Source organism: Homo sapiens, chromosome 8 (genome assembly GCF_000001405.40).
Source record: "Homo sapiens chromosome 8, GRCh38.p14 Primary Assembly".
In the NCBI taxonomy this organism is placed as follows: Eukaryota; Metazoa; Chordata; class Mammalia; order Primates; family Hominidae; genus Homo; species Homo sapiens.
Genome location: NC_000008.11, coordinates 68,907,628 through 68,930,811, shown reverse-complemented (window position 1 = coordinate 68,930,811; position 23,184 = coordinate 68,907,628). Strand labels below are relative to the sequence as shown.

Sequence of the window (23,184 nt, the reverse complement as noted above, 5' to 3'; positions counted from 1 at the left end):
GTGTGTATAATTTTTTTTATCTTTTACTTTATGTATTTATTTTTGAGACGGAGTCTTGCTCTCTGTTGCCCAGGCTGGAGTGCAGTGGTGTGATCTTAGCTCACCGCAACCTCTGCCTCCCGGGTTCAAGCCATTCTCCTGCCTCAGCCTCCTGAGTAGCTGGGACTACAGGCACACACCATTACGCCCGGCTAATTTTTGTATTTTTACTAGAGACCAGATCTCACCATGTTGGCCAGGATGGTCTCAAACTCCTGGCCTCAAGTGATCCGTCCGCCTCAGCCTCCCAAAGTGCTGGGATTACAGTCATGAGCTACCGCACCCAGCCTTGTATTTAATAACAATGTTAATACTAATAAGATAACTTTCTCTCTCTCTCTCTTTTTTTTTCTTTTTGAGATGGAGTCACACTCTTGTCACCCAGGCTGGAGTGGAGTGGAGCGATCTCAGCTCACTACAACTTGCACCTCCCAGGTTCAAGCAATTTGCTTGCCTCAGCCTCCCGAGTAGTTGCGATTACAGGTGCATACCACCATGCCTAGCTAATTTTTTGTATTTTTAGTAGAGACGGGGTTTCACCATGGCGACCAGGCTGATCTCGATTCACCTTGCTGACCAGGCTGATCTCGAACTCCTTACCTCATGATCCGCCCACCTCAGCCTCCCAAAGTGTTGGGATTACAGGCATGAGCCACTGCGCCTAGCAATAAAATAACTTTCATTGTTGGAGGACACTCCAGTTGTCATTGTATGATCAGGAACTGCTTTCATACATTATAGCCTTCAATTTGCCCAACAGTTCAGTGGACTGATATTACAAGGGGTGTGCAGGTAAACTTTAACAATGGACACTTTGGAGGGCTCAGGGAGATCCCTAGTTGAGCATTTTCTAGTTTCTGTGGTGTAACTGTTCCCAACATGACACGTTGAGCACGGCCTTAGTGATATCAAGTAGCTCATAAAATTCCCCACAAATTTAACACTTATTCTCATTGGTCAGTGCAAACTGCCCCATCATACCACAGGATAGCATTAACTTTCTCGATTTAATTGATAAGTAAACTAAATTTGTCATGATGAAATAACTTGCCCAAGAGCATCAGTGTCAAAGGTGACAGCCCAGTGAAAAACTAAAACAACTGACCGTAGAGATACTGCGAGATCGCAGATTCACCCAGAGCCTGTGACAACCATGAAAGTTTGTGCAGAGTGTCTGTGCGGTCTTATTGTCAGCAGCATCATTTTCACCACAAACACAGTTGCATCATCATGGGCACAGTACGTTTTGCTTTCCTATCTAATACATATATAGAAAAAGTCACAATAACTTATCTCGGCCAGGCGCGGTGGCTCACGCCTGTAAACTCAGCACTTTGGGAGGCCAAGGCGGGTAGATGACGAGGTCAGGAGTTTGAGACCAGCCTGACCAACATGGGTGAAACCCCATCTCTACTTAAAATACAAAAATTAGCTGGGCGTGGTGGCGGGCACCTGTAATCCCAGCTACGCAGAAGGCTAAGGCAGGAGAATCACTTGAACCCAGGAGAGGCAGAGGTTGCAGTGAGCCACGATTGTGCCATTACACTCCAGTCTGGGTGACAGAGTGAGACTCCATCTCAAAAAAAAAAAAAAAAGGAAAAGAAAAAAAGAAAAGAAAAGAAGAACTCACAATAACTTATCTCAAAAAAGAAATAAAAATATATTGCTGAACATTCTTGATATATTACGCTTGGCAGGGTCCAGCAAAGCCAAGGAAAATCAGATCATATGCTTCTGGCAAGTCTTCAACTCTGTCCCAATTTCCTTATTCTGTCTGCACAAACTTGTTACAGTTTGCAGCATTTTTCTTCATATAACTCTGGTGCTATTCCACACGAAAGCACACATCACCTGAGAATATCGTGTCAGAGTGGTGTGATAACATTCTCTGCAACCTCTCATTTATAGCTTCTGCCACATATTGAACGCCTGAGAGTTATGTTATTATGAAGCCATTTAGGCTGGGCAGTAAATTCAGTAATCATAGTCTCTGCCACCCCATCTATCCCAACAAACATACTTAAATAAAAGGGTGTGATTATGAACATGGCTTCAAGAAAAGTCTCAAGATCCCCTGCCATCCAATTGTAGTTCCTAAGCAGCCCCTTTCAGCCATCATAGAATTTCTGAATATCCATTGGTCCTTGATGTGGTACTGAGCCTATATTTAGGGAGTAAGACATTCTGCTACAAGATAACATTGGATCTTCTAGTGAATACTGATATTGGCTATTTTAAAACTTATTACTATAGCATCGGATCAACTTCTTGTTCATACTCAAGGATGGGAGTTTAGAAAAAAATAACAGAGAAATAATTTTTCAGAAGACATCTGTCTTAGTCTATTTTGTGCTACTACAACAAAAGTACCTGAGACTGGGTAATTTACAAAGAACAGAAATGGATTTCTCACCATTCTGGAAGTTGGAAAGTCCGAAATCAAGGCACCAGAATTTGGTCTAGTGAGGGCCTTCTTGCTACCTCCTCACATGGAAGAAGGCAGAAGGGCAATCTAGCCAAATGTTGTTGAAGCCTCTTTTAAAAGGGCATTAATCCCCAAATGAGGAGGCAGACCTCTTGGCTTAATTACCTCTGAAATGCTTCACCTTCTAATAATATTATTTTGGCAACACCTGAATTTTGAAGCAACTATATTCAAACCATAGATGCACCATTTATTTTTCTTTCAATAGGAAGTCTGGTGCAGGGGCTTACATGCTGTTATATTTGTTAGAATCTGTGAATCATCTATTATTGCATTTCATTTCTTTGTTTTATGATAAGAATAATATAACAGCCTAGAGTATCAGTGTATATATTACTACACATGATTTTCCAGTTCAGGCAGGATTCATCAGAAAACCTAAAAGCAACCCTGTACAAATCATCAGCAGAATAAATGGTTTCAAAACCTTTACATTTTAATGGACAGCAGGAACACACCCTTGCTTCAAAATATCAATTTCCAAATTCTAATAGAGATTGAGATCTCTGAGCTGTCAATGACAATTAAAGGGAGAAAAAGAAGCTAAAGTGTATAACTGTCAAAAGGAGAAGATTAAATCAGGTTCATAAGTTTACTCTAGTTTGCACAGAAAGATCAAATGACGAGGACCCTAACTATTCTAAGCAACAAGGAAAATATAATATGATTGGTCTTTTGTTGTGAAGGCAAACAGATCCAATCACTTCTACAGAGCAAGTACACAAGTAGGGTCCATGAAGATAAATAGTGCCAGGTTACACTCGCTGGGCCTGTAGAAGGTGCCCTGCACTCTCTTTCACAGAAGCACTAGGATGCTTGCATCGTTCAATTCTTGTCTTTCCTAGCACTTTGTAAATTGTAATTAAATGCACACTTTTGTTAGTTTTTCCTTATCTGTCCCTCTGCTTACAGTGGTGTTTCATTCATCTTTGCAAAGGTAATACTCTCTATGGAGTCATGTGTCTGTTTTTTGTTTGTTTGTTTCTTTTTTTTTTTTTTTTTTTGACAAAGTCTCACTCTGTCACCAGGCTGGAGTGCAGTAGTGCAATCTCAGCTTACTGCAACCTCCACCTACCAGTTTCAAGTGATTATCCTGCCTCAGCCTCCTGAGTAGCTGGGACTACAGGCACGTGCCACCATGCCCAGCTTATTTTTGTATTTTTAGTAGAGACGGTGTTTCACCATGTTGGCCAGGATGGTCTTGATCTCCTGACCTCATGATCCATCCACCTTAGCATCCCAAAGTGCTAGGATTACAGGTGTGAGCCACTGCGCCCAGCCGGAGTCATGTGTCTTTAAAGGAATGAATGAAGAATCTAAGCTTTCAGTAACAATAATCTCGACAATGATACTGTCACTCTTCCCCTTTCAGAGACAATTGTGTTATTTCTTCTAAAATGCTGATAGCTACTTTTTATTAAGCCAGAAATTTTGCTTTATCTTATTTTGTCCTCACAACCAACCTATGTGACAGATGTAATATTTTGAAAATTTTACTAATAAACCAAAGCTACCAATTATAGAACTCTCTGAATTAGATATTCTATAATTAATAATCAGATTGGGCATCATTTTCAAAAGCTTCATTTCTGGATTCAAGTAATAATTGGCCAGGCACAATGGATCATTCCTGTATTCCAGTGCTTTGGGAGGCTGTGGCAGGATCACTTGAGGCTGTGAGTTTGAGACCAGCTGGGGCAACACAGAGAGACCCCATCTCTACAAAAAGTAAAATGTTAGCCAGCCGTGAAGGCATGCACCTGTAGTCCTAGCTACTCAAGAGGCTGAGTTGGGAAGATCGCTTTAGCCCAAGACTTCAAGGCTGCAGTGAGCTATGGTCATGCCACTACACTCCAGCCTGGGTGACAAAGCGAGATCTTGTCTCTTAAAAAAAAAAATTTTTGGCTCTGTTCCTCACTAGCATGACCTTGGACGTCATGCTAGAGAGCATAATCCTCTATACTTCATTTTTCTCATCTATAAAATATGGAAAGAAAGTGCCTACCTCATCAGTGTTTTATGAACTAAAATAAATAATGCATATAAAACACTTAAAAGTCTGTTCCTGGCATGGGCACAAAGTAAATGCCAATATGTGGAATTACTCTCTATTTAATATCCACATTTTCCCAACTGAAAACAACTTTCCATTTTTCCTTATGGTAGTTTTTTCCCCTTTTTGATTACTTAGCCAGGAGAGGATTCCTTACTCATCAATGCCTTGTGTGTGGCTGGAAGGGCTGAATACTATACTTATGAAAAACCACAGAGAATTACGCTCTCAGCATTGACTAGATCAGGAAAAACAAAAATAATTATGCTCAACCATACAACAACCTGAAAAGGAGGGCCTGGAGGGCATGGTCACCTTGAGCCTTTACAGAGGAATTCATCCAATCCTTCCTCATTCTTGAAATTGAGGTGGGCCATCTGAGACCATTCAACTCTCCTCATTTTCAGAAATAAGCTGTTTCATTGTACAGTTGGAGAAATAAAAGACAGCTGTCAAATAACATCTCCATATCAAATAGCAAGATGCACAATGATCACAAAAGAAGAACAATTAGCCTTTGTCTGAAATCTACAGGTTGCCACTGCAGATTGAGTTGGCTCCACAGGCTCATGGATTCAGAAAGATTAGTTCATTGTTTAGGTCTCTTGTTGTCACAAAAGCACCTGGTAATGTACAGCATTTTTCAAAAATGTTATGAAATACTAGGCTGGTTTCTTTGTGGATCAATGAGTAGTCTGGCTCCCACAGAAAAAAGCATCACTTCGTGATGAGGAAGTGCATTCTGGGTTGGGTTTGGCATGACTTTAGGCTTAAACCCAACCATCTCCAAAAACGTCAGATTTTATTCTTGCAAAAAAGCAAATGTCTACAGGCAAAAGAGGGGTTATAATAAGAAGACAGAACGGAAGGAAAGCTTGGGAAAGAGATGACATATTATGAGCTGTCTTAATGCAATAAATGGCCGGGTGTTCTGTGGCCTGCATTCCTTTGACGAGGCCTGCTCAGACATCCCATGACCTAGATTCATTCTTTTTATGTTGATGTCATCTTAACCAGAAGCCAGATCTTGATTTGCTCTATAAAATGTATCCGGCTTGAGTTGTTTCTGCCAGGAACCACAGTTTCCATTTTGTTTTTGAACTCGGTGGATCTCTTATTGTATTTTCTTTTCTAGGACTATCCCAATATGACAAATCATGAATTCTCATTTGAGGTTTTCACCAAAAAGAGTGTTTGAACATTTCAGTTCATCTGTCTACAAAGTTATGATCAATCAATTTTCAAACTTGCCAGCAATTTATATGCTTTTTGAAATCATATGTAGCCTAGTACCATATGGAAAGAACCATGTCTGTCTGTATATGAGAATATTTTATCCTTTGCCTTTATTTGAGGTAATTTAAATGCTCTGTGTAAACCCATATTTGGGAAAATAAACAGCACAGATGCTGCCCTTTAACAGAGCACTTACTCCCACATTCGAAATATCTTTTAGAGGACACTCTATTAAATGAAACAAGGCTTACACTCATTTGACATTTGCAGAAAGGCTATCACAGCAAGTGAAGTTCCCTTGGTATTCCTAGAAAATTAATCTTAATTACCTTTACCAGTTAAGAATATCATCTGTAAGGACATTTTATTTAAATGAGTCACAGCTCCTCTGGTGTTCATTGTTATTGGGTAAAAGATGTAGATATTGCTTCTTGGTCAAATATGGTGTCCTTATGACTTACAATTAAACTGATGATTTCTCTTTGTCTTCCTTTGCTTTATAGGAGCCAAAATAATGCAGCTTCACATCTCCTTAATGGACAGAAGACTACACTGTTTTTGCTGCACCCAGAGATAAAATTATTGGTTTTGGAGTACCTTCACTGATGCCAGGTCTCATAACTTTTAAAAAATATTACTAAGTTAAGGGGAATTGAAGCAATGAAAGTCAGAGTAAGGGCGGGGGGTTCAAAGTTGCAAGCAATTTACTTCCTCTAAACATGACTGCTCATTTGTTTTTGAACAAGCTACCCTAACCAGCACTTTAAATATTCAAACACAGACTTCAAACATGCACCTTTTTATGGGAAGGTGGAGAGATCCTTATTAACCTGAATGCAGATATTTTAGAATGAGACGTTTGGTGCTCTCTTTAGTAATAAAAGTTTTTGTAGGTAAGCTTGGGAAACACAGTGAGACCTGGTATCTACAAAAAAAAAAAAAAAAAGAAGAAGAAGAAAAGGAAAGAAAAAAGAAAAGAAAAAATAAACTGGGCATGGTGGCATGCACCCACAGTCCCAGCTACTCAGGAGACTGAGGGAGAAGGATCCCTTGAGCCCAGGAGTTCAAAGCTGTAGTGAACTACAATTGCACCACTGCATTCCAGCCTGGGAGACAGAGCAAGACCCTGTCTCAGAAAAAAAAAAAATGTATATATATATATATAGTAGGCGGTTTAGAGACCACCATATCATAGATCATAGAAGTGATTTTGCTTTTTGAAGTACAAGGGTGGAGGGTAAAGTTTGGGGATAAAAAATGTTTCCTGAATTGGGTTTAAACCCATAGATCTCAGGTATGACTGCAGACTGTGTTACCAAAGTGAACTGGGGTCAGCCTGCCTGGCATAGCAAAGCTAAACCCTGACATCAGGACTGCCATGAGAGAAGGCAAGGCATTTATTGCAGGGCACCAAGCAAGGAGAATTAGGCAGTTCATTCTTAAGACCTGATCTCCTCAATGGCTTACAGGTAAGGGTTTTTAAAGGGAGTGGAGGTAGAGGTTACAGGCAAAGTCATACATCAACACATGGAGGCTGTACGTTGATTTGACCTCTCGAAGCAGGGGCCCACAGGCCAGAAGTAGATTCAAGATTTTCTGATTTGCAATTGGATAAGGAAGTGAAGTGTTGTCTAAAAATTGGGGGTCAACAGAAAAGAATGTTAGCTCTGGCTGGTGAGCATGACCTCCTCCAGGCCCCTTAGAAAGAAATTTAGAACCAAGAACGGCGGTCAGAGTTCAGTCCTCAGTTTCCCCCGCATCTGAGGTCTATGTGCCAGTGGGTCTCTTCAGTGGGGAATCCAGGTTTTCAAAGACAATTCAGGGACATATGTTAAGATGTTACCTTTAGTTTCTACAGGAGAACCAAATGTCTTGTGACCTTAACTTCCTTGGCTATTGTTTTAAGCTATATAACCTTCTTGCTTATCAACTTGCTCATTTACTTCTCACGTCTAGCTAGGTACCTGAAATTTCACTCGGAGGAACCCAAGATTTTCCTTTATTTCCATGCCTGGGGGGATCCCACAGGCCCCTAAGAGGGGTTCCTGTTCTGTCTCAACTAGAATCACTTGGGAGCTTATAAAATACATCCAAGCCCATGCAGTACCTCTAGAGGTTCTGAACCCTTGGGTCTGATAGGTGTGAACATCTGGAAGTCCAGATACTAAAGGACTTTGGACGGCCAGCCTGAAGAAGTGCTGCCAGACTAAGGGAACTGTGGTCAGAGTTTCCCACTTGGATCTCCAGTGCACCTATGAACCGACACATGAAGTAAGAGCCAACACCCCAAATTTCAACTAACCCCTCACTCACCCATCCACACAAACTCCAAACCAATACCAGCTTCAGGGACTAGAGTGGGCAAAGCTTTTAAGCCTAAAGTGACCCCAAGCTGGGGAAATGAAGGAGTATTCCATTGGATAAAAACTGAAATGATAATATTAAGATCAGACTTCTTAATCATTTAAATGAGTCTGTTCTTGTGACTGAAAGGAACCAGAAAGGTCAAGGCCCTGTCTGAAGTTTCATCTATGGGAGAGTTGGATCATTAGGTTGTTAGGTCTTAGACCAGAGTTATTTATTCACACCTTTTTCCATTGCACATAGAGGAAGAATGTTTGTTCTCTTTTCAGTATTCAACAGGACTTCTGTAAGGATCAACTAGATAGATGTAGAATCTGAGAAATGATGCTATTGTCTCACAAAGCAAGGAAAACCCAACCATATTAGGTCCTGATGTTTAGCCCAGTGTATTATTTAACAAAGCTTTAAGGAAATTCCTGAGTGAGAGTAGAGACAGTGGAAATCAAAAGATGCCCAAGGCACTGGGGAAAGTACTGATGGAAGCCATGATAAGAAACAGATACCGAGGGTCAAAAATTCTAAAAATGTAACCAACTAAGGGAATAAATGTGATGGTTGGCCAAAGATAAGATGCTTGTGCTCTGGTCCCCTTTCCTGTTGTTCAGAGGATTCTGGCTGGGGATGGGGCCAGGGGTGGATATGGGGAAATGTGTGGGGACGGGTCAGGATCATTTTCCACAGATGCATATTCAGTGATATTATCATTTTGGTTCAAAAATTATCTATTACAGTCTATAAATTTGAAATATACAGAAGTTCATATTCAGTTTTGTTTTTAAGAAAAAAAACTTGCCTTTGATTTGAAACATGAAAAACCTAATATAATTTTTTTCTTTTCTAGCATCTGTAGTTTGGGATAGTTTACTTTGATTTTCATTTCTGTCTGCATTGTAGCTATTCAGAAGGTCTTTAGGTTGTCTAGGCTGGGGAAAAAGTAACCTTTATAAGATGGGATGGAATCAATAGTAATGTCATAGATAATTTCAAATGCTGGATTAATTTTTTAAGGTTGATTTATAACCAGAAATAAAAATCTAGAGAAACCCAGGAAATCAGGGTCTTTACATCACTCAAACACTTTCCATTTTCTTAAGAATGAGGAAAGATGATATGTGTGGGTCCAGAGACAGCAGATGTAATGAGACAAGAAATGAGACAAGAGTGGTTTTCCTGTCCAAGGATGCAAACCTCTCCCAGTCTTTTGTGATAACATAGTAAATTATGGTTTTTAGGGAGCAATGAATGAGTGGTAGCACAGAAAACTCCTGAAGGGTGTAGTAATAGCATTGGAACAAGAAAATTGAAAGGCAGCAGACAGTTTTGTTACAACACTGCCCCCCCCCCCACCATACACACACATACCATAAAGAAGAATCTGTTTCAAGAAACTTTTTGTTTCTGGAATGTTAAATATTTCCTCCTAATCCCCAGGGAGTCCACATTATTATTACTGTATTAACATTGTTTACATTCATGATTTTTTTTTTGCCCTCCTTGAAGCTCAAGGGGGATTTAATAACCTTAAATTAGCCAAAACTAATAATCCAAAATGCCAACATGAAGACATGGTAACTCTGCTGTTCCAAGTTCCTGAGGAAATATATATGCATGGGCCATTAAATTTCCTTTACTATGGAGGTTTGAAGGGGCTATGGAAAATTGCAAGGATTTTGCAATTCTTTGCAGTTCTGGTTCTAGCAATATCTGTAGCCCCCATCCTGCAGTTTTTTTTTAATCAGCATTGAGACTTTGCATAGAAACCTATCTTCACTTCCAGAGTCTTAGGGACTTCCTCAGAGGAATGAAGCCAGTAATTCTCTGCTTCATGGATAGACGAGGAATGTTCTTATCTCTTCCCACTGGATAGCTGATAGAGATGCTTGAGGTGCTGGTGTTACAGAAAACTAGAGCTGGTCAGTAGTTAAAAAGGTAAAAATAGATTTTATTCAGGAACAACTGCAATAGAGGAAAATAGACCTTAGTATAAAACTAGGCTCAATATTACAAAGATAACAAGGACCACTGGAGATTTATAACCGAAGAACAGGTTGTGAGGGGAGGATGTTCAGTGGATAAGAAAATTACTAAGAGGTGACATCAAGGGCAGAGGGAATTCTTGCTAAACTTAGTTAACAGAATTTTTGCTGAAGGCAGGTCAGAGTGATCAGATGTCATTGGGGGATGGTGAGAAATGAAGAATTTGATACTGAGGGTGTAGCAGATATCAAGGGTAGGAGATACTCTCTAAACTGACTTAGCAGAATTCTTGCTAAAACTGAGTGATGTAGGCCCAGCAGGCCCAATGGGATTGATACTGAAGCCCAAGGTCCAGGCCTAGTTGAGAAGAGGGCTCAGAGGAACTGACTAAACTTTGGTTAAGGAGAAAGACTTTGCCTGTGGGAAAAAAAACAGACAGGAGTCAGGGAATCTGGGTGTTAGTGCTCTTCATGTGGGGGCTAGGAGAAGAATCCCAGCCATATGATTCCAATTCTTCCCCTGTCATTCTTATTATGGGTGAAAATGACCAAATTGGATAAAAAGGATGGGATGGATTAAATATCCATTCAATTTTCCAGTAATTCTGATGGTTGCTCAAGCCAACCAAAGTACCTCTAGGATATTTGATACATCTCCTCTGCCTCCTCACCCCAGCCCCATGCCAGGCCGCTTTCTGTGAAATTTCTCCAGTTATCAGAGACCTCTTATTTTACCCATCTGGCAAACCTACTCACAGCCATAAAGCAAGAAATTTCACCAACATTTTGATTTACTCAGGGAGGTACTAGAGAAGAAAATTCTGTCAAGGGAAGTAGTCATAAACTTGATTGAGCTTTCTCGGAAATAAACTTTGTTCTCCAATCTGGCTTTGCCTAACTTTTTATTCCAACCTGATCCTTTGGCTATTTCTCAAATTGGTCAGAGTTGGTAGGAAACAACAAATATGATTAATGAGCACTCCTTAAAACCAAAAATAACAAGAGAAGATTTTTGCTAATGTTCTTTCCTCTTGTGCTCCTCTTGCCACGGATGAAATCCGTGAACAGTCCTTTGACAAATGCATGGTGTCAGCTGAAAACAGAGTTGGGTTGAAGCGTGTACCCAACAGAGCAAATCTACCACCATCTTAAAAGTGCACCAACAGACATGTCTTTCCGTACTGGTGAGCCAGCCCTGTTATCTTTATATATGTAGGAAAAGCTTGCTATAGATGCACAGAAGTCTAAGAAATACTGACAGAATTCAAGATTCCATTGGAATCTATCATTATTGAATAAAATCTCAAATCTAGATTTTTTTACATTAGATGAAGAAACACATTTAACTACCCACCAGGTTAATGTAATATATATTACTTGCATGCCCTGAAATTTCTCTAGGAGCATAAAGTAAAAACTTATTTTGAAAATTCTAATTTGTATTGCTAATTTTTCAAAAGATATATATATTTTGTTAACACTACCAGTGTTAACAATGAAAATGTTTATTTAATGATATAAAAGAGCACTCAAGAAAATGCCTAATTTCTAGGAAGAAATGGGTTCTAAAAATAAAATCAAATGTATGCCTAAGATCTTTTTGAATTAGGTTATTAAAGTGGTACAGTATATATGGCCCCAAATATCTTTGATGATTTCCAATTGGTGATTACATCTTTGCTTCTTCTGTTTCTATTTGTGAAAACTGCAGAAACAAGTTATGACCAAAACGAAGAAATTTCAAATGCAGCAGAGAAACTCCATAGGAGGTCTTTTGGGCATAACTTAGCCTTAAACTGTGCCACCCAGATCAGTAAGGCATCTCTGTTATTCTGAAATTTGTGTGCTTGGAAACTTCAAGAAAAAAAAAAAAGCTTTTTATTTCTGGGGTTGAGACTGTTAACAGGAAACAAGACTTCAGCCACTAGAAAAGCACTTTTTTTTCTGACACAAATTTTGCCTTTGTGCCTTGATTGACAGCCATCCCACTGTCTATAAACAATCTACGAGTTACCCCAAATCACCATTCAGTTCCTGCCTCCAACATTTAAACATCGAGTGGTTTTGCGCTCAATAAAATTCCTTTTCATTTCGCCCTAGGTTGCCATGTCTCTTCAAACAGAGACTGAAAAGCCATGGTCTGTGTCAGACAGATTTTAATTTTCAGTCCTCATCCATTTGGAGGAACTAGACACAGGCAAACAGACTCTAGCCCAAAGCCTAGCAACCTGTAGTTTAAACAGCCAATGCATATGAGTCCCGGGATGGGGGCCTGGACCTGTTCACACATGAATAAAGAAGATTAAGATTTCCTTTCAAAGACGTGAAACCTTTTTGACAGCCAGTGTCAACAGTACTGTCTGCCTTCAATGTGAACCAGTCTTCTAGCACAGATTCCCACAGGGAGGTCCTGCTGATTAGCATGCTCGACACCACCATTCCATGTCGGTATTTAATTGAAGAATAAGGGTGTAAAGTTTTGCAAACTCTTACTTATCCACAAAGAAAGGGTAACTTACAGGAATTGTTGAAAGAAAATACCAGTGAACATGAACACCTACGGGGAGCATTTAAAAAGTGGAAGCACTGAGCAGAGGAATGAGGAACAGCGGTGATTTCTATTATCTAATTGCAGAGAAGTTAACAAAAGTTTCCTAGTCAAAATACATGTTTTGAAGTCATAAAAAATCAGCTCCTACTCTTAAGAGGGAAAAAAAAGCATAACTTTCTTCTCAAATCATGTTTTAAAATTCTATTAAAGAATAAGCATTTATTCTGAAAACATTTGGCAAATAAATACTATTTGCCTTTGCAGTTCAGGGAGAAATCTTTATTGATAAATATTTAAAAATTTTAAATATGACTCTTTGCACATGAGCCCTTGCTAATTTTAAATGAAATGGACTAGGCCTCTATTAAATAGTGAGTTCTGTATCACATTGCATGTCCTTAGGAAGAGCCAAAAAGAGGGAAAAAGTTATGTCTACAAATGCCAGCCTCACCAATTTAATTATCTCACTTCAATTACAAGTTCAAACACTTACACAAGTTAAAATATAGACCATGTCTGCCTTGAAATGATATACAACTATTAAATTACATGTACTGAATCATTTTGGGATGAGTTAGAATAGCTATTTACAAGAGCATAGCTGTTTTTTATTATGTGACAAATGTTTATGCAATTTGATGTCAACTGTTTATTCTTCAAGCCTGAATAAGAATGTAAAGCAAAATGTACTACCCGCATATATAGATGCCATGTTTCCTCACCAATGACACACACACCTTGAGTTGCTTTCCCGGTGGTGGTTAAAGGTTTGCACTGATCTCTCCATTTTTATTCATTTACTAAATATTTATTTACCAGCACCCTCTCTTTCCAGGGATTTGGGTAGAGGGTGGGAATGGAGGCTGTGCTGTCCTGGAGCCAGCTCCCACAGGCTTGCAGAGCCAACTGTGCACATCTCTTCCCAACTCTAGCTGTGTTCAGTGTCATCGCAGCTACCAGGGTCATCGACTGGTAACTTGAATCAGCTATGTTGGGAGTACTTACACCACAGAAATCAACTACTACAAATCAGGGCTTTTTTAAATAATCAGTTGTTAAACATTTATTAGCATCTCACTGGATAGAGAGGTGAGTGAAAAAGGTTTCTGCCTTCTTCCATCCTACGGCCAGGTGTTGCCTCTTTAACTTTGCAAAGAGTGTCTTCAGAGACAGTGGTGAATTTGTGGCAATATAGCAGGAAGAAACTACAGAGAGATTGAGTCTAAAGCTTTGCTCTCTGGGATTTGGGCAGAGCTGATATAAGGCCAGAATGTCTGTAAATCAGAATCAGAGCTGGATAAGATGACAGGAACTGGGAATCAAATCAAGGTTTGGACTCCTCAAGGCCAGGATGAGGCTTAAGCCAGAGTGAATTCTCAAATAGGAGACAACCACGGGGAAAGAGAAAGAACACCAGGTCTGAGCTATCCAAGATAAGGTGGCCTGAAAAGCTAAATGTCTGAGCCTGTCTTAGGTCAATGCTCTCTGATCATTTTCATACCTAACATACTTTGGCTGCCAATTAACTAACTTCTATCCTTTTCCTGATGGCAAGGAGTGCTCTAGAGCAGTGGCTCTCAAATCTTACCATGTAAGTCTTGTTATTAATAAAATACAGATGGCAGAGGCTTGGCCCCAGAGCCTTTGATTTAGTAGGTCTGGAGTGGGGCCCAGGGAATTTGTATTTCTAACAAGCTATTAGGTAATTATGATGCCCCTGGTTAAGGGATGACACTTTGAGAACCTCTGCTCTAGGATTGGATCAAACATCTCAACTTCACTTATTTCAGAAGAGCAATTAGCTTTGCACCACATGGCATCATAACTGTCTTTCATTTATGAATTAATGTCTGTAAAAACCCTCCCCGGCTACATGGGAGAATAAGAAATAGTTAACTGTTGCACACTAAGAGGATCCTTCGTCATCACCTTTTGGTCTTTGTGGGAAGATGCTATTTTGGGATACATCTGCACAATTCTTTGAACTTCACAGCCTCAGATAATTGCCTAGAACAAATAAATGCTTACGTGCTATATAAAATACTTTATGTACACACACAAAATACTTTATTGCAAGAGCAGTCATCACAAACTACATTCTTGTGCATGGGTACTGCTGTTATTGTCTAGAAAAAGGGAACCACATACGTATTCAACAAATCAGCAATCGCTTTCTTCAGTTAGCCTCCCAGAGTTGTATTTTTTTTTAGGAGAGAAGCTCTTGCTCTGTCACCCAGGCTGGAATGCAGTGCCATCAGACCATAGTAGCTTACTGCAGGCTTGAACTCCAGGGCTCAAGCAGTACTCCTGTCTCAGCCTCCTGAGTGCCTGGGGCTTTTTTTTTTTCCACTTCAGTAGAGACGGGGTCTCACTATGTTGGCCAGGCTGGTCTTGAACCCAGAGCTCTATTTTGATGCCAGCCATGGGAACATAATAGCAATCAGCTGTAGCCATAGTCACTGCAACATAGATCATTTAAAAAGTATATTGATAACTAAAAAAATTATTAGGAAATACTCATTTTATGACCTGGAAAGTGCAATTTAATGTGATTATGTAGAAGGACGAACAGGCTAACCTCTCCTAATGTGCTCTTACACCTTTCCCCACCTCACTCCTCATTGGATTCTAGCCAGTTCAGCTTGGTGGTCACAGAATTGGGTCTCAGACAAGTGAGATCTCATTTGTAATAGGGAACCATCAACATTGTTCAATTAAGTGGCTATCACTAGGGCCCCATTATCAAAATAGCAGCTCCATGGCCTATCATTCCACCATTAAAGCTGATTCTTTTGGAGCTTCAAGATGTATTCATCTTAGAAGTAGTCTCCCCCTTTAAATGTGAATGACTTCTGGGAATTCTCAGCTTGAAGTGGGATATTAGCTCAAAGGCAAACATAACTTGCCTCATAAAGCTAGCACTTCCTGTACACACAAAGTCTTTACACTTCTAACAATTTGGGCCAAAGAATCACCCATTATTAATCACAATTATTTCTAAAAGTAAATACATTTTAAGTTTATTGCAAAAAACAAAAAAACATATATAATATTGAAAAAGAAATCTGACATTTTTGCTGATTTTTTTTTAACTCTGAATGTACAGGATATTATGAAAAATTCAGCAAGTAAACTAAACAAAAAAAGAAGAGGGAACACTATTAACTAGAAATAAACAAGGCCAGAGAAGGATAATTGGGATTACAATAATCAACAATGACAACATCAGAGAACTTCCTCCTAAGTTAGATTGTATACAATATTGACACAGAATCTTTTTAAATGTCTGCGTAACAGATGCTGCTTGAGAAATAATTAGAGTCCGAACCTGGTGTGCTATTCTACACATATTTTGCTGCATTTACTATCAGCATAAAATACATGATAAAATATTTTACAGCCTCAGTTTTACTGGGATTCATTTTAATTTAGGTTAACTTGAGAAAATTAAAACAAGCAGCTATTTATGTTATGAACATGTTGTATAGAATTTCATGAATGAAATTTTAATTGATAACACATTTTTCATCCCATTCACATCATTTCATATGTTTCACAAGTAGAAGTCAACTCATATTCTAATTTACTGAAATAAATATGTCTAGACACTGAAAGATTTTAAGGAAACATACAAAGATAAGTATGGCAGATACACAAACACTCTGAAATTGGTTCTATTCTCTCAGATTTCAGTTATTTATAGGAGCTCATTTTCAGGCTGAAGAGTGGGGTCTGGTAGCAGTCAGGGACTTGTCATTTTAAAACATAATTTCTACCACAAATAAAAGCCCTTTTTATCCATTTCAAAATTTGTTCTATTGAATTCAAATCAACTTAGAGAACCATGGGTATTGTTTTCACAATTCACATAACCTTATAAAACATGACTCCTTCAAGGTGGTTCATGAATGGCCTCTCACTTGTGGTTCTGGGAGAAGTCATAATAATCAGAAGCAAAGAAGATGTTTAGTTCCACCTCAAAGTTGAGGCTCACATGGCTAAACACCTTACTTCTCCCTTTGGAGATTTTCTTTCTCTCCAGACAACATATTGGTTCTTTCCACACAATCTGGGAGCTGTATCTCTCCAGCTCTTATCTTATCTCTCCTTCCTTATCTGCACTTGGGGTTGGGTGGGGACCGGGGCTGGGGGTGGTATATGTGTAAATGGTCTACTCCAGATTGCTGAAGAGAGAGCTAATTGCTCAACTTACAGAAATTTTGTAAGCTGGCTCTTAAAGACAGCCATTTCAAAATTTGAATTTTAAAAACATAAAAGTAAATGAATCACATACTAAAAAGTAAATGAATTATGTAGTATAAATTATTTACTAAAAGTAAAATGAATTATATATTCATTATATAAAGTGTATTATATACTAAAGATAACAAACCCACAAAACATCCCTTTCTACTTGATTTTCCTTATTTTCTTATTGCCTATGCATTAGGTTCCAGGGTACCATTACAGATTTTGAAGCTGAAGTGAGACTATTTTCTCTAAGTTGGGTGATTATTGGTGATTTCTTTCTTACACAGCATTTATTCCTTTTTTTCCGATTTTTTAGGGGTGTCATCTTTACCTTCCATCACATAATATATATAAAGAGAATTTTTCTTAGCTTTAAATGAGTTGATAAGAGGACAAGAAGAAAGTCAAGGACTCCATTTCCAGGATTAAAAGCGGTTTTTTCCTTTGTCTTCCAAATCCTAGCAGTAGAAGCATTTGAGTTCTGCAGAAATTACTGAAGTGGTTCAAGTGTGGGCAGTCAGGACACTCAGCCCACCATACTCAACCCCAACTCAACCTCAACTCTCAGTACGGCAGAGAGACGGAGAACTCAGAGCTATAACTTTCAGGAATTCTCAAAACCTCAGACAAAATGCATCTTTGTTTTACCACCTGTTAAAGTATATCCTCATCTGCCTCAGTGCACATAAGTATACAACACTGCAGATTGTGTTTAACTTCATTTGCAATTAATTTAACGCATTTTGTATCCAACATTTCTACTAGGAAATAGTATTAGTCTATCCCCAAACTAAAATTCACTGCAAAAATGTAATTCACTCAAGAAAAATAATGATAATTCTTCAAACACCTTGAGATGTCATTCAACAATCATACCCAATGGGTAAAATTTAGAGTTCAACATTTAGCTTGCATTTCTTTCTAACCAAACATCTCAAGTTCAAAAAATAAAGCAGATTGTTTTGTGCATTTGTTATCACTACCACATCAATGGTCACCTACACTTCCTGAGCCCCAAATAGAACTCTCAGAGAAGCATTGTGTATTTGTCAATATCCTGGAGTTTCAAAACTCCCAAGTGTTGCCACCATTTGACCTGAAATTTCCTCTCTTCTCAGATTCCTGCCTCTAAACACAAAACAAACAAACCTTTACTTAACTTAGCTCATGTGTGAATTTTTAGGGTCATTTGTTTCATATCCAGAAAGACTTCAAGTCTCTTTGCTAAATTTTGATTTACCTAAGGCCAGTAGCCTGAATTCAACTTTAGCAGTCCCAGGGCTCAGTAGATTTGCCCTGTAGATTCTGTAATTGGATATTTATGTTCCATGTATTTCTTCTTTCAGAGCATAGCAGAAGTATAGGGATAACACCTTAGCTGAATGTTGGCCCTAAAATAGCTGCTCATTTGTAGCACTCAGACGAAGCTGAAATTATTCACATTCAGCCGACATTTCCGTTAGGTGAGATGCTGCCTGCTAATTCACATTTGCCTGGGATTGCTCCTCAGAGTTCAGATTTAATTTTGATAACATCAACTCTATCATTTAATAAATAATAAGCAGTAAAAAATTAAGCCTATTGTTATTGGGCATTTTGAATGAAAGAAAAGCAGTATGGCATATTAGGTTTAAGGGTTCCTCAATATCTTAATCTATATTGCCTTCGGAAAGAAGCAATCCTTAGATAAAAAAATAAAATACTTTAAAATTTCTCTCCATTTCATTAGTGCATGAGACTGAGACAGGTATTGTCACTCTTGCCACTGACTCAGTGACATGTCAGAAACAATGAAGTCTTAAATATATTGCTCAAAATTTCAACTGCCTATATATAGCATAAAATTAATTGCATTTAGAAAAAAAAGTTCTGTTCTCTTAGCAATTTTCAGGTAGATCCTAAATGTTCTCGACACAAAAAGATTCATATGTGAGGTGATAGATATTATGATTAGTTTGATTTAATCATTTCACAATGTATAAAAATATCAAAACAACATGTACATCATAAATATATAGACTTTAAAATTTTTCAATTATACCTTAATAAAGCTGAAAAAAATAAATTAACTTAAAATTTTAAAATTAAAAAAAGGTCAAAGTTTTGCCTACTATCACATTTGAATAACTTGTGCATTGCTTTATTTAGTTAAGCGATCAACATTTTATTCATTCAACAAATATAAACAGAAGCCAACATGTGACAGATATTGTGAAATATATCAAGTAGGATCAGAAGCTACAAAGGAAACTTGTATTCATTGCACCTGTTTATCTCAAATAGAGCTTTCTAATTTAATTCCGTTTCATTAGAACACTACATACGATCTTCTGAAACTGTGGGTAGTAAACTTCAAGTATAAATTAACTAAAACTTTGACAATATGGATAAATCCCTTTTATTCATGTTTCTTAGGAAAATGACATTTAAAATGGCTTTTAAAATCATCTGAAAGTAGAATTCTGTAAAAAAGAAGAAGGCAGTTGAGAGATTTGAGACGAGGAACCACAGTTTTCTGGGCAGTCTAGATAGAGCAAACCACCCTAAGTCTGAGTTTTTGATTATCTAGCCATCACCACGACTCATCGGGGCACTCCTAGCGGGGCCTCAAAGTCTTCACTCCCTAGTTTGGCATAACACTATATGGGCTTCCTTCAGAACTGAAAGCACTACACTGGCTTCTTAGAGACTGTGAGCTTTGTCCCACCTACCTGACCTTTACGTAGAGGCTGTTAAAAAACCTTCAATAACTGGCCCAGTCTCGAAGACCCTTCTAAGAATCCTCATGCCCAGTTCTTTCTTTTTTTTTTTTCTTTTTTTTTTTTTGTTTCAGATGGAGTCTTGCTGTCACCCAGGCTGGAGTGCAGTGGCACAATCTCAGCTCACTGCAACCTCTGCCTCTCGGATTCAAGTGATTCTCCTGCCTCAGCCACCCGAGTAGCTGGGACTACAGGCATGTGGCACCATGCCCAGCTAATTTTTGCATTTTGAGTAAAGTCAGGGTCTCACCATGTTGGCCAGGTTGGTCTTGAACTCCTGGCCTCAGATGATCTGTCCGCCTCGGTCTTCCAAAGTGCTTGGATTATAGGTGTGAGCCACCACACACGGCCTCATGCTCAATTTTTTCTTAAATTAATCCAAGAAAAACATCTTGATCCAGAGTAGACATCCAAGTGTCATTAAAAATTAGTGTCATCAGGTGATAAAAATAAGCAATTTAAGAAGTATTACATAGCAATCCCATATTTTATAAATACCAGAAGTTGATATAGTAACTACAAATGAATTAGGCCTGTGATAAAGGGCCAGGTGTGATGTGATAACATAGAGTAAACACAAATTTTTCTATTGAAGAATCTCTGATTTTAAAAAGGGCAAACATTTCAATATAAATTCCTATAAATAATACTAACAAAGAATCTTTTATAGTTAAGTGTGGAAACATTTGGAAGAGAAAACAGGAGTACTGCAGCAATCTAAAAAATCTGATGATACACTTCAGAGATTACACAATATTTTCCAATTCAAAATAGCCTATTTTGTTGGGGTATTTTTGGGACAAGTTTCAATAGCCCTGGCTTCAGAAACACTAAAATTATAAGCATTATATTCCAATTATAAAAATATTATGATGTTGCTAATACTTTATTAGTAACACAGGTCCATTAATACCCTGGAAACTTTGCCTGGAATTTATTTGAAAAATACTTTATTAATCCATGGACTCAAACATTCAGAGTTTCTGATTTAAAGCATAGGTATTACCATGTTTCTGGTAAAATAAAACACCCATACTCAATCTGTTGGTTGATGTATATCTGTGATTGTTTCACACCTCATTTGACAGAAACATTATGAGGTCTGAGTTGGTATTTGTGGAAAACTCTGTATATTTTTCTCATGGCAAAGAGCCAAGAATAATTTTACTTGTCTACCACATTTTATATAGTGGTGTCTTTGAAAAACACTTACCAAAATAACCTCAATGGAAGTCTAATCTTAGATGGCTAACAATGAACAGATATTGTGAACAAAATGTGAGAGAGGTAGAAAGACTAAAAATACTAAGATAAGTTAATATAGGGGCAAGAATTAGGAACAAAGTCAAGATTATGGGTTCCAGGAATGTAAAAATAGTAAAATTCTGTAGAAATGACAGGTTTGACGTCAGGGGCAGAAAAGGACCAGGAAAACAAAAGTAATTGAATTTTAACAAAATTCTGGCCAAATGTCATCAGTAAATAGTGTATTAATAAAATGGGAAAATGCAGGGCAAAGCTGGCAGGAAAACAGATGGGTCAACTTTGGAAAGAAAGGATCTTACAATTAGGACATTTCGTGCCTTCACAAGGCAACTTGCATAGGAGTTCCAAAAGGACAGTATCCAAATATCCGTCTCAGTTGGAGCAAATTCTTGTTGGGTCTTCAAAGAAGGATCTTGTCTAGAGTTCCTGATATTAGACAGACCTCATGAGATATTCTTCATGAAACTACTTTGATTTTTGTGTCTCCAAGCTTGACTAACTTACTCAAAACATTTCTTCTCTTTCCTCACTGAGTTTATTTTCATTTGCTTAGTCCTTCTGTTTGACAGAGCTGGCCTTCTCCAGATTATATGCTGTGAACATCAATCTAAGAAAATGGCTTTTATGAGGTTTGGTACTTAAGAATTTCACAGTTAGTCCTATGATACAATTTTATAAACACATTGAAAGAATAATTCTGATTTTAAATCGATACATGAAGTGATTTATCCACTGTCCATTTGGCTTAAAGGAATTCAAGTTTTCTGAAGTGAGGATTTGGTCATTTGGACTGTAGTTAAATCTTCTAAATGTGCTTCCTTTATAGCTAACCCAACATGAGGAGATCACATAGTCTCTCAAGATCCAATAAAAAGTAACTTCTTACTTTTTACTTTCAAGTCAGACTAAAACATGTTACAGAAATTTTCCCAGAAGATTTTCTTTACAATTGAAAGATTGACTAATTAGATATCCTCTGCTTTATATAAACTATACATACATTTTCCTGAAAAAGGAATGATCACTCGTTAAAACCCTGGTTATTCTTCCTCCTTGTTCTCTACCTCTCTGGTTCCTTAATCTCAGGTTCTTTTTCTGCCTTCCCTGTAGATGGAATTTTAAAGGGATGCATTCTCAGCCTTTGCAGTTAACTTCCCTGTGGGAAATCTCAGTTTTGGCCATGGCTTTATCTAACACTTATTTGCGCATGACTCTAATGTTTACATCTAGCCAAGCTCTCCCATCAGAACACCAGAGCCAAATATCCAACTGCTAACTAGACAGCTCCATGTGGATGTCTTACTGGCATCTCAAACTTGAAATGCTCTGAAATGAATTCCCTATCTTCTCCAAACCTATTTCTATATTCCTGTCTCAAAGAATGTCTAATCAGGCATTATAATCTCACATTTGAGAATTGTGATTGCCACTAGTGAGTATCCTGCCTCCCATCTTGAACTGTTTTGACTGTAATTCATATTCCATGTGGCTTCTCTTCATTTACTCAAGAAATACTAAAAGAACACCAGCTATGTGCTGGGCAATATTTTAGGCATTGTGGATGCCTCCGTGAGTTATAACAACAAAAAGCCCCTTCTCTGATGAAATGTGTATTTTAAGATGGTAGACAATAAAATGCATATAGAATATGTCACATTCTGACAAGTCCTGTGAAAAATAATAAAGAGAGTATATTAGTTTGTTAGCACTAGCATAACTAAGTACCACAGACTGGTTTAAACAATAGAAAGTTATTTTCTCACAGTTCTGGAGCCCCTAAGATCAGGATGCCAGCAAGGCTAGTTCTTTCTAAGGCCTTTCTCCTTGGCCTGCAGATAGCTGCTTCTTGCTGTGTCCCCACAGGCCCTTTTTCTGTGGACATCCCCTTCCTGGTGTCTCTCTTCTGAAAAGGACATAAGTCCTAATGGATTAGAGGGCCACTCCTATGACCTCATTTAACTTTAATTGCTTCTTTATATAAAGGCTCTGTCTCCAAATGAAGTCAAATCAAAATGTAAATTTTAGGGGGATGCACTTTGGTCCGCAATAGAAGAATACATAGCATGTGACTCTGCTTCTCAAAATCCTTTAATTACTCCTTGTTGCCCTCCAGAAAAAATTAAGTGTTCTTTCCTTGGCATACAACATTAGCAGACCTATTCAGCTTCTTCCCTGGGTGGCATAGCTTGAGCTACATTAAATAA

General features: G+C 38.2%; 1 long non-coding RNA gene across 1 annotated transcript in view, besides 1 other annotated feature; it reads left to right on the top strand.

Annotated features, from left to right (window-relative positions):
* The window catches only part of LINC01592 (long intergenic non-protein coding RNA 1592), a 192,388-nt gene extending 173,379 nt beyond the window's left edge, over positions 1–19,009 (top strand). Inside the window, exons 4-5 of the long non-coding RNA NR_039986.1 lie at positions 6,317–6,425; positions 17,272–19,009. This is a non-coding gene — a long non-coding RNA (long intergenic non-protein coding RNA 1592). The remainder of the gene's footprint in view (positions 1–6,316; positions 6,426–17,271) is intronic.
* Positions 4,814–5,358: an enhancer, noted in NCBI's record as "OCT4-NANOG hESC enhancer chr8:69837689-69838233 (GRCh37/hg19 assembly coordinates)". NCBI's record gives its function as "activates a minimal SCP1, AML or CMV promoter by ChIP-STARR-seq in naive and primed H9 embryonic stem cells {active_cell/tissue: H9 hESC(naive and primed)}" and the evidence as "EXISTENCE:reporter gene assay evidence [ECO:0000049][PMID:30033119]".
* Positions 19,010–23,184: the final 4,175 nt, after the last annotated feature.